At 47.1% G+C, this 17,984-nt stretch overlaps 1 protein-coding gene across 6 annotated transcripts in view, besides 2 other annotated features; it reads right to left on the bottom strand.

Moving 5' to 3' along the window:
- Positions 1-3,605, bottom strand: part of GDAP1L1 (ganglioside induced differentiation associated protein 1 like 1) — a 33,849-nt gene extending 30,244 nt beyond the window's left edge. For 5 of the 6 annotated variants that reach the window (NR_046353.3, NM_001256737.2, NM_024034.6 and 2 more), the window contains exon 1: positions 3,190-3,396. Coding sequence is in view for 4 of the 6 variants with exons in the window: in NM_001256737.2 (NP_001243666.1) it covers positions 3,190-3,369 (180 nt within the window). In the remaining 2 variants the exon portion in view is untranslated. Of the gene's footprint in view, positions 1-3,189; positions 3,397-3,501 lie in introns of those variants that run through there. The other variant, NM_001256738.2, reaches the window with a different exon arrangement.
- Positions 2,241-2,535: a silencer, noted in NCBI's record as "tiled region #13448; HepG2 Repressive DNase unmatched - State 12:CtcfO, and K562 Repressive DNase matched - State 12:CtcfO". NCBI's record gives its function as "represses a minimal TATA promoter and a strong SV40 promoter by Sharpr-MPRA in HepG2 and K562 cells {active_cell/tissue: HepG2 | K562}" and the evidence as "EXISTENCE:reporter gene assay evidence [ECO:0000049][PMID:27701403]".
- Positions 2,896-3,694: an enhancer, noted in NCBI's record as "H3K4me1 hESC enhancer chr20:42875650-42876448 (GRCh37/hg19 assembly coordinates)". NCBI's record gives its function as "activates a minimal SCP1, AML or CMV promoter by ChIP-STARR-seq in primed H9 embryonic stem cells {active_cell/tissue: H9 hESC(primed)}" and the evidence as "EXISTENCE:reporter gene assay evidence [ECO:0000049][PMID:30033119]".

Genomic DNA, 17,984 nt, shown 5'->3' with positions numbered 1-17,984 from the left:
GACCTATGATAGTGCTTGAAAGCTCACTCTTAACAGGCAATTGTTTAAGGCATTGTGCTAAGTGTGTGAACATGCATGATATCACTCAATCTCCTCAACCCTCTCCCCCAAATATATGAGAAAGCTGACTTAGACAGGCAAAGAAGACACTTGTACAAAGTCACATAGCTGGGAATGGCAGAGTTGGGGTTTGACCGCATGTCTGGCTGATTCCAAAATCCATGCCTTTATAACAGCACCCAGCACTTAACTGAGCACTTTCTATGTGCCACGTGCTATTCTAGGTGATTGACATGGATACATTTGCTGAATCCTTACAACGACCCTGTTGGGGAGGCACCATTAATATTCTCAATTTACAGGTGTGGATATAACTGGGGCATGAGAGGTTAAGCAGCTTGCACGGGATTACCCAGCTGGTCAGTGGTAGAGCTGAGATGGAAGCCCAGGCAGTCTGGTCATAGAGCCTGGGCCTGGACCCACACACTGTCCTGTTGCCCTCTGGGTCTGGAATGATCTCCAAATGCCCAATGGAGCCACCATCACTCCTAGAGGTGGACTATTTTTTTCCATTCATATTTCATGTGCCATTAAAGACAGGCTATTTAGATGCTTGACAATGGGGGACTGCCCTCTTTATATAATTAAGGCCCTTCAGGATTGGAGAGAAGGAAGAAAACTCATCTGCTAAGCTCCTACTACATGCCAGGAAGTTAACATATGCCTATGTCTTCTAAAGGAATTCTGCAGGGTAGGATGTAAAATCCTCTTTTCCAGATAGGGACATTGAGGCACAGAGAGGTAAAGTGACTTGTCCAAGGTCACTCAGCCAGTAAGTAGCCAAGACGAGAATAGAACCCAGGACTATATGACTGCAGAGCCCATGCCCTTTCTGCCAAGCTACACTGCTTCTAGAATCCACCATGGGCCCCTGGGTAGGGGGAAGGCCCTGGTATGGGAGACAGAAGGATGCCCAGGTTAGCTTGGCCAGAGACTTGGTCAAAAGTGGGGCTGCAGCAGATGGTCTCATCCTGACTCAGGGGCCACCTCAGCCCTGAGCTCACGCTACATAGGAAATATTTCATGAGGCAAAGAACAGGAGGCTCCCTCATGATATGGTTGTGGGAGATGCCACCTCCCTGCCCCCTGTCTGGTCCCAGCCGCTGGGGCCCACTTCCTGAGGTTCTAGCGGGGAGGAAGTTCTAGACTCTGAAGGGCAGTCTGATTCATCTCCAAAGCCCCCATCCCCAGGCTCCTTGAATGAGGCCTGGCACGTGCAAGCATGTGCAGAATTTGTGGATGACTCCAGTATGACCTTGATTAACTCTGGCCCCTCCTTTACCTAGTGCCTTAATAACATCATAACGGCCGCTCCTGGTGGCTCACACCTGTAATACTAGCACTTTGGGAGGCCAAAGTGAGTGGATCACTTGAGATCAGGAGTTTGAGACAAGTCTGGCAAACATGGTGAAACCCTGTCTCTACCAAAAATATAAAAAAATTAGCCGGGTGTGGTGGCATATGCCTGTAGTCCCAGCTACTCAGGAGGCTGAGACAGGAGAATCACTTGAACCCAGGAGGCGGAAGTTGCAGTGAGCCAAAATCATGCCACTGCCCTCCAGCCTGGGCAACAGAGCAAGACTCTGTCTCAAAAAAAAAAAAAAATCATAACACTCATTATCAACAGAGTCTTGACCTCTCGCCAGGCACTGCCATCATCAGTACTTTTGTGCATCATATCACATTTCACTCTCATAATAGCCCTCTGAGGAAGTTACTGCATTCACCCCATTTTACAGATTATAAAGCTGAGGCTTTGGACAGGCAAAGGGACCTGTCCACAGCTCCACAGTGAGTCAGTGGGCAATATGATTGGTGGACCAGCTTCATCAGCATCACCTGGTCGCTTGTTGGAAAGGCAGCATCTTGGACCCCATTCCAGACCCACTGAATCAGGATCCTTGGGGTAGAATCCAGCAGTCTGGGTTTTAACCAGGATCATCCAGGGACTCTAATGCACGCTCAAGTTTGAGTAGTCCCAGTCTATAACACTAAGTTCCTAAGTTATATCCCTTCTTCAACAACCATATCAGCAACCCTGAGAAGGGGTTGGGATTGGAAGTGGCTATTGTTGTATCACTATCCCGCTTTCCAGATGATGAAATGAGCCTGGACCAAGACTCAAATCTAAGTCTTTGAGTTCCAAGGCCCTTTCTCTTCATGGATTCTGTTTTTCCATCTGGAAAATGAACGAATGGAACAAAAGGATCTTCCAGGAAGAAGAGGAGTCAGAAGGTCAGGCAGTGGTGCCGCTTAGGCCCCTGCAGGACCTGCCTCTGGGCCCTGGCCATGGTGCTGAATCCGTGGCCCAGAGACGGGACAACCGCCCAGGGTGGGAGATTGCGCCCCTAGAGGCGCCCCTGTCTGAGGGGTGCAGTTCACAGCCTTACCCCCAGGAAGCGGGAACCCTGAGAATCCAGTTGGATTTCCAACTGCCCCTCAGGTCCCCTAGGTCCTAGAAGCATTTTAGGGGCTGGGGCCACTCTGTGCCTTTAAGAGCAAAACAGACCTGATGGGCTGAGCCGAGCTGGTGTGAGGGGATGGTTTAACTCCTTCCTTCTCAGCTCAAGACACGGAGTGGGGGGTGGGCGACGACTGGGGACAGACCCTCCAAGCCCTAGCCAGAAGGCGGCCCGCAGACAGAGGGGCAGAGGAGCTGTGACCTGGGGGCCTGCAGTGTCCGGGACGGCAGCGTGCAGGGAGCGACTGAGAGGGGGCTACCGAGGCTGGACCCCAAGTAGCGCTTCTTCTCCCTCCCCGCAGCAGCAGCACCTCCCACCCCACCAAGCCGCCTTCCCAGCAGTGCCCATTCCCTTCCCCTCGCCTTTGTCTCTTTTCTCAGCCCCCCCAACCCGCCCCGCACCCCAACAGACCGGCTGTTTCTGGGAGGGAAAGAGGCAGAATGGATGCTCCTAAAATTGAGAACTGTGCTCCTGGGGCCCAGACAGGGCCTGTCGCTTCCCAGGTGAGCAGTCCTGGAAGGAACCCTTGCGTCCCCCGACCTCCGGGACCCCCAAACCCCAGGTTCCCCCCTCCAGTCTTTCGCCGCCCTCAGATCCCTCAAGCCCTGGGGCTCCCCTCCCCAAGCTTCCTGGCCACCGGCGCAGGCGGCTCCCGGCCCGGCTCTACCTTCTGCGAGCTGAAGGACTGGGTCCAGTGGTACAGAACCAGGCTCTCCCTGGGCCAATGGGCGGGGCTGGCCGCCTCGGGAGCGTCGGGGGCCTCCGCTGGCTTGGCCGCATCGCTCTCCAGCGCGGAGATGGGCCACCAGCTGCAGTTGGTGGGGGTCAGATTGTTGGGGGTCGCCATGACAGCCCGGAATCAGAGGCAGGAAAGAAGGAGGCTCCGGCGCGGCGGCTCTCTCTCGCCCAGCATCACATGGCCTCGCCGAGCCTGCCCCTCTCCTCCCTCCCTCCCCGCTCCGTGAATGTCATTACTCACCGGGCAGTTGGGGGAGGGGGCGAGGGGATCCCGGGAGCTCCTTTCTCCTCCTCCCCCTGGCCCGCGCCAGAAAAGCCGCCAGCCCTCAGTGTCAGGCTCCCTGCAAGGGTGGAAGGAGCCCGAGGAAGTGGGTCGTGCCCCCCAAACAGCTCAGTGTATTGGGCCAGGCACCTGCCAAAGATTCCACCCTCATCAACGCTTTCCTGCCTCTCAGTCTTCTAAGGGGCAAATACTTCTTAACTGGGATTCTAGAGAGCTATTCCTTTAGAAATTAGTGTCTGGAAATTACTTGTCTCGCTTTGAAGCTGTTATCTTCTAACTTTTCCCCTGAAGGGCCTCGAAGGGCAGAGGGAACAGACTATGATTTATTTAACAGACACTTACATAGCACTTACTGTATGCCCAGGCACTGTTCTAAGAGCTTTACAACTATCAGCCCATTTAGCTCTCACAATAGTCCTATTAGCTTCATTTTACAGAGAAGGAAACTGAGGCACAGAGAGGCTAAGTGACCTTGCCCAAGGTCATCGAGCTGGTAGGTGGTGGAGCTGATGTGAACACAGGCAGTCTGGCTCCAGAGTCTGTGCTCCTAGCCATAAGGTCATGATAATATGGTAAGAATATAAACAATGGCACAGCAACCATTTATCAACCTGAGCCCCTTACATGCATCATCTCATTTCATCTGCACAATAATCATTTTTCACGGATGAGGAAGGCGAGGCTCAGAAATGTCAAGTCATTTGTTCAAGGTTGCATCTTCTACCAAGGCACAACCAGATGAGCCCAAAGAAAGCCCATAATGCCTTTGCTGTCACAAAGTCTGCCCTAAACATACATAAGAACTTCAGCAAAGTTCCTTAATACACCTATACTTCCGTTACTATAAATACTGTGTTTTAATTTATTTACCATTGAGGAAATACAGAAGCAGACCCTGGGACAACAGATGCAAATAGATGTACTAGGAAGATAAGCTCAGTCCTCCCTCTCACCCCCGACCGCCCACCCCCATCCATCATGCTGCTAAGGACTCCTGGGTACCTCATCCCCCAGGCTGTAAGCCTGGCTCATAAGGAACCGGTGAACCTCCTTCTACCAGATAACAGATGCTCTGTGGTCCCTGGGTTTCCCTTTTTGCCTTGGCTGCCACAAAGCCTGTAGCTACATTTTCTATCAAGTCTCAGTTGCTACATTAGCCTCCCTGGTTCAGCATACTTTTTTTGTCACTCTTGTGAAATTTTTGATGTTGTTCACTGTTCAATTTTGCAAAAAAGGGCATGGTATGTCTTGAAGGAAAATTCAATCCTGTATGCTCCCAGGGTCACAATCTGGTAGGTTTAACAAGTGCCATAGGTGATTCTCATGAGATGCAAGGTTGGTGATACTGTTTGCATCTGTGTCTCCACCAAATTTCATGTTGAAATGTAGTCCCCAGTGCTGGAGGTGGGGCCTGGTAGGAGGTGATTGGATCATGGGGGTGGACCCCTCTTGGCTTGGTGCTGTCCTTGCAATAGTCAGTGAGTTCTTGTGAGATCTGGTTGTTTAAAAGTATGTGGTCAGGAACAGATTAAGAAAGCAAAAATAAATAAATAAATAAATAAGTATGTGGCACATCTTCCCCTACTCTGTCTTGCTTCCTTTCTCACCATGTGATATGCCAGCTTCCCCTTTGCCTTCCACCGTGATTGGAAGCTTTCTGAGGCCTCACCAGAAGCCAAGCAGGTGCCAGTGCCATGCTTCCTGTACAGCCTGCAGAACCACGAGCCAATTAAACCTCTTTTCTTTATAAATTACCCAGTTAAACCTCTTTTCTTTATAAATTACCCAGTCTCGGGTATTTCTTTATCACAATGTGAGAATGGTCTAACACAGCTGGGAAACACTGAGCTAGAGGAAAGATCCCTGGATTGGAGGCAGTAAGATAGGGCTCCTGGCTGTGTGACTTCTCACAGGTCACTTACCCTCCCTGAGATTCGGCTCATCATCTGTGAAATAGAGATAATGATAACTGCATGAGGCAGAGATGGATCACTGTCACCCAGAGATCTGTGTTCTCAGTCCATAGGACACAGTAGTTGCTGGAAAGTGGCTGCCACTCACCAGGGACTGCTCCACTTTGCATTGAGGTGAGGTGACAACATGACTGACTTGTGGCCAATGAATGTGGGCAGAAGTGAGGAATGCTGCTGCCCATAAAATCCCCATGATTCTTCACTCTCTCTTCCCATCCGCCTATTGAATATCAATGCCTGGAGGAACTTGAAAGCCCCAAGGGAAGGTTGATAAAACTCCTTGTTCCTCCCCACACCTGCTGCCAGCTGGACTTTATATGAGTGAAAAATAAACTTCTATTGTGTGAAGCCACTGAGGTTTGTATCTGTTATAGCAGCAAGTGCTATGTTACTGAACATACTGCCTCCGGGAGTGTGGCAAAAATTAAATGCGCTAATGCAGAAGTTGCAAACTGACAATGTGTTGGCTTGGACCCACCCTGCAGATATGTTCTGTTATGCCTGACCCAGTGTTATTTTATTGACAAATTTTAAAATGAGCAATTTCACACAAATATCTGGATTTCCAGGTTCAAGAAAACCCAGAATAGCTGGCACCCGGGTTTGCATGCCAGCAGTTGGACCAGGAGTGCCCATCCTGTTGGATGGAAATTTGATGGCGGTGGAAAATCTGGCCCCTATCAGTGACTTGAAACTGGTGGCATTTAGGGAGCCTGACTCACAGCAGTCATGCTCAGATGTGTGTTCGTTCCCTCAACTAATATTAATTGTGGACCCACTGTGTGCCAGGTGCGTTGCTAGGCACCAGAGATACAGCAATAAGACAGACAGACAGACACTGGCCTGCTCTTCGGCTTGTTCACTTAGCAAGACATCTTGGAAAGAGTTTCCTATCAGCACAACACGTCTACCCTATACTTTGTAGGACTCTGTACTACATGAATAGACCACAAAAAATTTACTTAACAACTTCTATTGATGGACATATATGTTGTTTCTCATCTTTTATAATAAAGATAAAGCTGCAGTGAATATCCTTATTTATATATATTTGCCCATATTTCTATATACTCTGTATGCTAAATTCCTAGAAGCGGAATTGCTGGATGGAAGGGCATGGCTTTGCCAAACATCACTTCAAAGAGGTTGTACCAAAGTGCCCATTTCCCTACACCCTTGCCAACGCAGCCTATTTTAAAACTTTTTCTTTGTGAATCTATGGGTAGAAAATGGTATGTCTTTAGTTTGCTTTTATTTTTTTCTTCTTATTACAAAACAATTTCAAACATATGAAAGTAACTCAATGAACATCCATATATCTATCACCTAGATATAAGTATTGTGAAAATCTTGCCATATGTGTTTAATTGGGGAGTGAAGTATTTTGAAATAAATTACAGGCATCATGATATTTCTCCAACTAAATACATCAGTAGTAGATATTTATAAAGTATCAACATAATTTGTATCTAACATAGGTCATTTTCTTACATAAAATACAATTTTCATATTAAGAAATTAGCAATATGAAGGCCAGGCATGGTGGCTCATGCCTGTAATCCCAGCACATTGGGAGGCCGAGGCAGGTGTATCACTTGAGTCCAAGAGTTTGAGGCCACCCTGGGTGACATGGTGAAGCCCCATCTCTACAAAAAATACAAAAATTAGCCAGGCGTGGTAGCATGTGCCTGTAGTCCCAGCTACTCAGGAGGTTGAGGCGGGGGGAATCGTTTGAGCCTGGGAGATGGACGTTGTAGTGAGCTGAGATCATACCACTGCACTCCAGCCTGGGCAACAGAGTGAGACCCTGTCTCAAAAAATATATTTATATTCAAATTTCTCCAGTTTTGCCAGAAATGTCTTTACAGGTAGTTTCAACCAGGATCCAATCAAGGACCATGTAATGGATTTTGTTCCTGCAGTCTTAAGTCTATTTTAATCTAATATGGTCCTCACTCTTTTTTTTTTTTTTTTTGACTCCCAATGGCATTGACTCATGAAGAGACTGGGCCAGTTGTTTTGGACAATGTTCCTCTCTGGGATCTGTCACGTTGCTTCACTGTGGTGTCCTTTAACTTCCTGTACTCTCTCCTATATTTCCCCAAAACTAGTATTTAGATCCAATGGATGGATTAGATTTAGGTGGAACATTCTGGGGATGAGAAAGTAATTATATTTCACGAGTGGTGCTATATGCTCCATTTCACCTTACCTGGTGTCTAACTGTCCTACTACTAATAATGCCAAGCTTGATCATGGGGTTCAGGTGGTGACCACTCCTCTCTAGGTAAATATTCATTTCTCCTCTTCTGACCAGCACCTTGTGGGTGTCCAGTTCCTCATTCATTGATGGTCTTTGACTGAATCAGTTACTATCGTTAGAAAATGGTGATTTTCTAATTTTGTCCTTTTGTTTGCATTTGTCAGCTGGCATTCTTTATGTGAATTTCATTAATTATGAGTGAAGTTCACCATTCCTTTAACTGTTTAAAAACCAGGCTGGGTGTGGTGGCTCACACCTGTAATCCCAGCACTTCTGGAGGCCGAGGTGGGTGGATTCTTTGAGTCCAGGAGTTCAAGACCAGCCTGGGAAACATGGCAAAACCCCGTTTCTAGTAAAAATACAAAATATTAGCCGGGTGTTGTGTCATGCACCTGTAGTCCCAGCTACTCGGGAGGCTGAGATGGGAGGATTGCAGTGAGCTGAGATCGCGCTACTGCACTCCAGCTTGGACAACTGGAGTAAGACCCTGTCTCAAAACAAACAAACAAATAAAAGCCAATTTAACTTCTTTCCTAGTGAATCATCTGTGTTTCCATAGGGACCTGGACAGTGATAGGACTGTGTGATACGTGCTGTGACTGGGATGGGAAAGGGGTGTGGTAGAGCCAGAAGGGGACATCTGGATCCCCCGTCTAAGCACTGGTGATGCCAGGGAAGGCTTTTCAGAGGCAATGGCTTTCAGTATGGGTTCCTGCCAAGCAGACCCTGAGACAAGTATTCAAGGGCACATCATTAACTTTGGAGAAAAAGGACATCCTGGGAGGCAAGTGGGGAAGACAGGAAAGACAGCCAAAGAAGGTGTATTGCCAATCAAGTTACTACTGTGGGTGACCAGGGCTTAATTCCAAAGGAAAATTCTGAGAGCCGCATGAAGTTCCTCAGCATTACCCTGCCCAAGGAGGGAGAGAGCTGGGGTATTTATACACCAGGTCCTGTCAGTCTTTGTTTGAGGGCTGCTTCTTGAGAGAAGTTTTAATTCCCTGGCACTTCAGGCCTGCCCTGCAGTTGGCAGAGTGGGTCCCAGTGGCACAGAAAGCCCTCGGGCAATAAACATGGGTGTTGCCAGCTAGGGGTCAGCTGATGTGCATTGAGTGGGAAGAGTGGGGCATACAGGCAGTCATCATCAGCATCTGCTCAGGGACTTGAAGCAGAGGCTTGTGGGATGAGGGGGACATAGCCAGCTGGGGAGAAGAAGGTGGAAAGGATGCATGCTCCAGGTAGAGACACAGGCCCAGAGGTGGGACAAGAGTAGAGTGCTTGACCGGCTGATGCCCACTCATCTGCTGGGGGCAAAGTGGAGACATGAGGCTGAATGGTACTGTCAGGCCACTTAGGCCACCTGCAGGAGTCATCACATTGTGCCGAGGGCACTGGGGAGTCCCTGAAGAGTGTTTTGTTTTGTTTTGTTTTTTGTTTTGTTTTTGTTTTGTTTTTGAGATGGAGTCTCGCTCTGTCGCCCAGGCTGGAGTGCAATGGTGCCATCTCGGTTCACTGCAACCTCCACCTCCTGGGTTCAAGCAATGCTCCTGCCTCAACCTACGAATAGCTGGGATTACAGGCATGCTCCACCATGCCTGGCTAATTTTGTATTTTTAGTAGAGATGGGGTTTCACCATGTTGGCCAGGCTGGTCTTGAACTCCTGACCTCAGGTGATCCACCTGTCTCGGCCTCCCAAAGTGCTGGGATTACAGGTGTCAGCCACCATGCCCGGCCCCCTAGAGAGTTTTAAGTGGTGAAATTATTGTCCAGTTTGGGTGTCAGAAATCCGAAAAGGCCTGAAGTATGTATTCCTCACAGGGTGGGACTACTCCTCCCCTCCTTCTGTAAGTAATGGACTCAGCCACCAAGTGGTTGCCATTGAATGTGAACCCAGGGCACAATGAGATGGGGTGCCTGAGGAACATCTCACCCAGAGCTATACTGGCAGACTGTATACTAAAAATGTCTGATTACACATATGATCATATGTTATCATGACATAAAACAGCCAGGAGGATGTTCCATGTGCTCAATACCTCGCTAAGCACCACACTGTCATTATCTCAATAAGGTGGATACTGTTATCACCTTGATGTGGGGATGGATGGTTCAGTTGGCCCATTCTGGGATTTCCCAGCCAGTGTCTCTCCTCCCTGAACATGGCTAGGACACATGGCTGACTTCTGGCTCTCTGGGGCCGCCTTTCCAAGTTTTTTTACTGACTGTCTCTGTCTCCTGTCTTTCTCCAGGCAGGGTTTAATACAAAGATCTCAGGGGTGTTTAGTGACTCACAGTCAATCCTCCAGTGGTGTCTTATCTCACACAGAGGAAAGCTGAAGTCCTAATGACTTAAAGGTGCTGCCCGATCTGGCCCCGTCTGGTCCTGATCTGGCCCCGTCTGGTCCCCATCACACCTCCCCATCTCTTTCTGCCCTCCCTTGCCTGCTGCCCCAGCCCATTGGCCTCCTGACTCTTCCCTAGAGGCAGAGGGTGCCGCCCCGAACTTTGCTGAGGGTCTCTTCACTTGCTGTTCCCACTGCCTGCCATGCTCTTCTTCTTTTTTTTTTCCCCAAGCTCTCTCCCTCACCACCTTCATATCTCTGCTCATGTGAATGCCACCTTAGGATTAGCTAAACCTTTCCTGACTGCCCATGTAAAAGAGGTAGCTACTCTGACCCAGCACTCCTTTATATGACTTTGTTTTTCTCCATAGCACTTACCAACAGGGGGTCTGCATGCAGGGTTTTTTTGTTTGTTTTTTTGTTTGTTTGTTTTGAGATGGAGCTTCACTCTTGTCACCCAGGCTGGAGCGCAATGGCTTGATATCGGCTCACTGCAACCTCCGCCTCCCAGGATCAAACGATTCTCCTGCCTCAGCCTCCCAAATAGCTGGGATTACAGGTGTGCGCCACCTCCCCTGGCTAATTTTGTATTTTCAGTAAAGATGGGGTTTCCCCATGTTGGTCAGGCTGGTCGCAAACTCCTGACCTCAAGGGATCCACCTGCCTCAGCCTCACAAAGTGCTGGAATTACAAATGTGAGCCACCACACCTGGCCTGCCATGCAGTTATTATTTATCTCTCTGATAGGGATATAAGCTCCATAAGAGTAAGGACTTGGTAATGTTCACCTCTGCCTTCAGCTCCCGGCCCAGAGCCTGACACAGAGTAGGTGTCCAGTATTAAATAAACAAGTCAATCAATGAATGCCCCCTGGCCTGCGCCTGGTGATGACCTCTGCTCAGCCTGACGGAAGTTTGCTGTGACCCTAAAGTCTCCGTTCCACACTTTTACACAGTCTCTCAATTCTCTTTTCCAGAACACTAATTGCATTCACTGGGTGTCATTTTAATTCCGAGAGGTGACATTATTTCCAAGGTCTTGAAGGGCACTGCTGCTCCCCATCATTTTCCCTTCCGCCCCAAAACACTTCAAATCCTGCTTGGACTAAAAGAGTAGGGGAAGGGCTGACAGATTTGATACACAAAGCTTAAAAAATTTTGTACCACAAAAATTATAAAATAAAGTTAAAGGATAAGCAATAGACTGGGAGAAATATTCACAATTTACATAAAAATATGTATTAGTCCATTTCCATACTGCTATGAAGAAATACCTGAGACTGGATAATTTACAAAGAAAAAGAGGTTTAATGGCTGAGGAGGCCTCACAATCACAGTGGAAGGTGAAGGAGGAGCAAGGACATGTCTTACATGTACTCTCTTGGCAGCAGGCAAGAGAGTGTGTGCAGGGGAACTGCCCTTTATAAAACCATCAGATCTCATGAGCCTTATTCATTATCATGAGAACAGCACATGAAAACCCGCCCCCATGATTCAATGACCTCCCACCAGGTTCCTCCCACAACATGTAGGGATTATGGGAGCTACAATTCAAGAAGAGAGTTGGGTGGGGACACAGCCAAACCATATCAAGGCATAATATTCATCATATATAAAGAGCTCCTACAAATCAATAAGTAGTAATGAAAATTAGAAACAAGCAATTCATACTAAAATCTGCAGTGGACACTGTGGTTATCTGTCCAACATCTATTCTACATACATCTACCTCCCCTCACCCCACCCCATCATGTTGCTGCCTTGCTGCCAAGGGAGTGGGGTGGAGCTTACCTTGACTCCTGTCCCAGTGGTCAAAGCCAATCAGGTTGATCCCATCCTCCCTTGTTCCAGTGATTGTTTCTAATACGTGAGCCAGTCAGCCCAGAGCATTTCGCTGGTGGTCCTGTTAATGCAAAGCTCAGGTTTTTGTGCAGTGCTTGTGGGATGTGTCTGCTCTTTTTTTTTTTTTTTTTTTTTTTTTTTGAGACAGAGTCTCACTCTGTTGCCCAGGTTAGAGTGCAGAGGTGTGATCTTGACTCACTGCAACCTCCGCCTCCTGGGTTCAAGTGTTTCTCCTGCCTCAGTCTCCAAGTGTCTGGGATTACAGGCATGCACCACCACACCTGGCTAACTTTTGTATTTTTAGTAGAGACGGTGTTACACCATGTTGGCCAGGCTGGTTTTGAACTCCTGACCTCAGGTGATCTGCCCACCTTGGCCTCCCAAAGTGCTGGGATTACAGGCATGAGCCACTGCGCCGGGCCATGGGATGTGGCTGCTAGACATCAGCCAGGAAGCCTGTAGCCTCCACTGTTCCCGGCAGCCATTCTTGAGGGGAACCAGACTTGAATGAAGCGGACACCAAGTGACAGGGTACTGAGGTGGAAGCAAATGGCCTCTGGATGAAATAACTGAGTTGCTATCTTAAGTAACCCTACCGCTCCAGCCTACTAAACTTGCCAATTATGAAAGTCAATAATTCCCTGACTGCAATTTTAAAGTCCAACGTTATAAAATCAAAAGTTTTCTCTCTCTATCCCAACTACAAGTTACAAGTTTAAGACAAGCTCATGGCCGGGCGTGGTGGCTCACGCCTGTAATCCCAGCACTTTGGGAGGCCAAGGCGGGCGGATCACGAGGTCAGGAGATCGAGACCATCCTGGCTAACACAGTGAAACCCCGTATCTACTAAAAAACACAAAAAAATTAGCCGGGCGTGGTGGCGGGCGCCTGTAGTCCCAGCTGCGCGGGAGGCTGAGGCAGGAGAATGGCGTGAACCCGGGAGGCGGAGCTTGCAGTGAGCCGAGATCGCGCCACTGCACTCCAGCCTGGGCGACAGAGCGAGACTCCGTCTCAAAAAAAAAAAAAAAAAAAAAAAAAGACAAACTCATTTAGTGACAACATCTGCACTGAACTGATATGAGACTATGATCTTTATTTATCTCTCTCTAAAGAAACATTAATGTATTTGATTATGAGGTGCTGCCCCAGCCCCCACTGGGAATTTCACATAATATATAGTATAGTACTACATTACCTTTCTAAAATCTCACAAAAGCCAAATTCAAAAATTCATTCCAGATAACAGATTGTGGATTTGCCTAGCCTCTCAGGAAGAAAATTTGGTGAAATTTAACAAAAATCTGTCAAATATACTTACCTTTTACGAATTTATCATATAGAAACCATTGGCTAGGTATACAAGGTTCTACAGATTTATAATAATCATAATAACAGTCATGAGGGTTTCCATGTGTCAGACAGTGTGCTAAGCACTTTATAGACGTTATTGTAATTGAGATAGATATTGTTATCATCCTTATAATATACATCGGGAAACTGACACTCATCTGGATATGAATATTAGTAGCCTAAAGTCAAGAGCTAATGAACACTAAGTCCATAGAAAATGGACTTTGAAGTGTCCAGACAATAGGGGATTTGATTTAAAAATTAGAGTATATCTATAACATGGTTGGATGAATTGATTGATTGAGACAGGGTCTCACTCTGTTGCCCAGGCTGGAGTGCAGTGATGCAATCATGGCTCACTACAGCCTCGACCTCCACGAGCTCAGGTGATCCTCCCACTTCAGCCTCCTGAGTAGCTGGGACAACAGTCTTGTGCCACCATGCCCAGCTAACTTTTGTACTTTTCATAGAGATGGGGTTTCATCATGTTGCCCAGGCTGGTCTTGAACTCCTGAGCTCAAGCAATCTGCCCATCTAGGTGTCCCAAATTGTTGAGATTATAGGTGTGAGTCATCATGCCTGGCCATGGAATAATTTATATCCACTAAATATAAGGAAGGATTTCATGATACGTTTAAATTTTAAGAACAGGTATTGATTATGTAAGGTGTTTTAAAAATTCTATTTAGCTTAGGTTATTACAATCTTTAAAATGTAAAGAGGAAAAAAAAGGGTTACCAAAAAAGTATGTACAATTCAATTTTTTAAGACATATAAATTGTAGAAGGGCAGTCAATAAAAGTCTAATAGTAGTCATGTGGTTATATTGAGATTGGAGACAAGGGTAAGAAGAGATCATGAGTGGGCTTTTTTGTTGTTGTTTATTTTTCTTTCTTTTTTTTTTTTTGAATGGAGTCTTATTCTGTCACCCAGCCTGGAGTACAGTGGCACAATCTCGGCTCACTGCAACCTCCACCTCCTGGGTTCAAGCAATTCTCCTGCCTCAGTCTCCCAAGTAGCTGGGATTACAAGCACGTGTCACCACACCTGGCTAATTTTTGTATTTTTAGTAGAGACAGAGTTTCACCATGTTGGCCAGGCTGGTCTTGAACTCCTGACCTCAAATGACCCACCCTCCTTGGCCTCCCAAAGTGCTGGGATTACAGGCATGAGCCACTGCACCTGGCCTGTTGTTTATTTTTCTTAATTGGAGTTTCTGATTTTCCTTCTGTTATGGACTTAATTGTGCATCCGAAAATTGATATGATGAAGTAATCCCTAATGTGGTTATATATGAAAATAGGGCCTTTGAGGACACAATAAAGGTTAGATTAGGTCATAAGGGCAAAGCCCTAATTCAACAAGACTCTTGTTCTTCTAAGAGGAAGAGACACAGGAGTGCTCACAGAAGAAAGGCCCTGTGAGGACACAGTGAGACGGTTGCCGTCTGCAAGTCAGCAAGGGAGGCCTCAACAGAAACCAACCCTGCTGGCACCTTGATCTTGGACTTGCAGCTTCCACAACTATGAGAAAATGAGTTTCTGATTTTTTTTTTTTTTTGGTCTACTTCTTTCATTTAGTTTCTGATGTGTAAGCCACCTGGGGTGTGATATTTTGTTATGGCAGCCCAAGCTGACTAATATACCTATTGTAGACATGCATTATTCCATATATTTTTTTAATTTTTTAAATCAAAGTTGTTTAGGAAAAAAAAAAAGATATTGCTTGATTTCCCCGTGACCACTGAGGGCAAGCCAATCCTGGTCCTCACACTGCAGGAAAAGGGAAGGGAATTCACATCGTCTGAGTGTCCTTCTGAGCTAGACCTGTTACCAAAATCTCATGGAAAGGGCATTAATGTCCACATTTGACAGATGGAAACAGCAACTCAGAAAACAGTAAATGCTGACCAGGGCTGTGGCTCACACCTGTAATCCCAGCACTTTGGGAGGCCGAGGCGGGCGAATCACCGGAGGTCAGGAGGTCGAGGCCAGCCTGACCAACATGGTGAAACCCCGTCTCTACTAAAAATACAAAAATTAGCTGGGCATGGTTGTGGGTGCCTGTAATCCCAGCTACTTGGGAGGCTGAGGCAGAAGAATTGCTTGAACCTGGGAGGCAGAGGTTGCAGTGAGCTGAGATTGTGCCATCGCACTCCAGCCTGGGTGACAAGAGAGAAACTGCATCTCAAAAAAAAGAAAGAGCGAGAGATAGAGAGAGAGAGAGAAAAGTGAGCAAGAAAGAAAGAGAGAGAGAAAAGTGAGCAAGAAAAAAAGAGAGAGAGAAAGAAAGAAAACAAGAAATGCCTGGCCCCAAATCCCCAGCTAGGAAGCAAGCATAGCTGGCGTTGGGACCCAGGTCTATCTGACCCCCAAATCCAGTTGAGCTTGTCCCATCTCTTACCTCTGCCTCCATGTAGCGGATGCTGAAATGGCCACAGATATGGGTAGGGTCGGGGTGGGGAACATCTTTCAGCCCGTAAGGAGTACCCAGAAGATTTTGCTTCCAAATTCTGGGCAAGAATGGCTTTCCTGAGAGCAAGAAGTCACTTGAATTTTGCTGTGAAAAATCTTAACAGCTAACGCGTAACTTCTACATCTATTGCATCAGGGTTCACTGACTCGAGAAGCTGTAGGCATATGGGAGAAGTGTCATGAATGTGAGGCAAGCCAGGCATAAAGCAATGCTGTGTGGTGGAGACTGTGGCAAACTGGGGAGCACAAGTTCCGCTCAACAGGACAGCCGCTCCTCGTCCAGCCACTGGAATGCAAACCCAGGTGCCAGCGATTCTGGGTTTTCACGAACCTGGAAATCCAGAGGTTTGTGTGAATTTGCTCATTTAAAAATGTATTAATAAATTCGACTGGGTGCAGTGGCTCCCGCCTGTAATCCCAGCACTTTGGGAGACCAAGGCAGGTGGATCACCTGAGGTCAGGAGTTCGAGACAAGCCTGGCCAATATGACGAAGCCCCATCTCTTAATACAAAATTAGCTGGGCATGGTGCTGTGCGGCTGTAATCCCAGCTACTTGGGAGGCTGAGGCAGGAGAATCGCTTTAACCTGGGAGGCAGAGGTTGCAGTGAGCCAAGATGGCGCCACTGCACTCCAGCCTGGGCAACAGAGCAAGACTCCATCTCATAAAAAATAAAAATAAAAATTTATTGATAAATTTATATAAAAAAGAACACTGGGGCAGGCATAACAGAACATATCTACAGGGTGGATCCAAGCCCACACCTTGTCTGTTTGCAACCTCTGCATTAGAGCATTTAATTTTTGCCACACTCCCAGAGGCAGTATGTTTGGTAACATAGCACTCATTACTTTAACAGATACAAGTCACAGTAGCTAAACACATGGACGTTTATTTTTCACTCATATAAAGTCCAGTTGGCAGCGGTGTGGGGAGGAACAAAGAGTTCTATCAACTTTCCCTTGGGGCTTTGAAGCTACCCCAGGCATTGATATCCAATGGGCAGATGGGCAGAGAGAGTGGCGGATCATGGGGGTTTTATGGGCAGCAGCATTCCTCACTTCTGCCCACATTCATTGGCCACAACTCAGTCATGTGGTCGCCCCACCTCAATGCAAAGTGGAGCTGGGAAATGCAGTCCCTGGTGAGTGGCAGCCTCTTTCCAACACCTACTGCGTCCTATGGACTGAGAACACAGGTCTCTGGGGGCAGAGATCCATCTCTGCCTCACGCAGTTATTATCATCATCTCTATTTTACAGATGAAGACATGAATCTCAGAGAGGGTAAGTGACCTGTGAGAAGTCACACAGCCAGGAGCCCTGTCTTACTGACTCCAATCCAGGGATCTTTCCTCCATCTGTGTTTCTCAACCTTGCATCTCATGAGAATCACCTATGGCACTTGTTAAACATACAGGTTCCTGGTCCTCACCCCAGACTTTGAATCTGAATGTTCAGCGGAAGAATGTGGTAATCCTAGATGGTTCTTATATTAGGCTCTACACTGGTGGCTGAACCTTAGCACCATCTGGGTAGCTTTGTGAAACAAGAATCTCTTGGCCCTGACACCTAGCAATTCTGATTCAGTTGGTCTGGGGCAGGAGCCCTGACATGGACATTTTATAAAGCTCCCAGGTGATCCTGAAAACCACTGCTTCTGCTCCAAACCAAACTGGGCTGGTCATCAGTCTCACCCAGTAGAGATTTCAAGCTGAAGCAGTGAAAGAGAAGGTGGCGGGGAGTGGAGGGGTGTCAATCACTGATTTTTTACCCTGTGTGCACATTAGAACTAACTAAGGCCTTTTATAAAGTAGCAATGCCAGGAATCCAGCCCTAGAGATTCTGATTTAATTGGTTTATGGTATGGCCTGGGAATCCACATTTATTTATTTATTTATTTATTTATTATTTATTTTTAAGATGGAGTCTCACTCTGTTGCCAAGACTGGAGTGCAGTGGCATGATCTTAGCTCACTGCAACCTCTGCCTCTCGGGTTTAAGTGATTCTCCTGCCTCAGCCTTCCCGAGTAGCTGGGCTTATGCCTGCCACAACAACCAGTTAATTTTTGTATTTTTAGTAGAGACAGGGTTTCACCATGTTAGCCAGGTTGGTCTCAAACTCCTGACCTCAAGTGATCCACCCGCCTTGGCTTCCCAAAGTGTTGGGACTACAGGCGAGAGCCTGTAATAAAATAAA

The sequence above is a fragment of the Homo sapiens genome, chromosome 20 (genome assembly GCF_000001405.40).
Source record: "Homo sapiens chromosome 20, GRCh38.p14 Primary Assembly".
NCBI lineage: Eukaryota > Metazoa > Chordata > Mammalia > Primates > Hominidae > Homo > Homo sapiens.
This window is presented reverse-complemented; position numbering and strand designations above follow the sequence as displayed.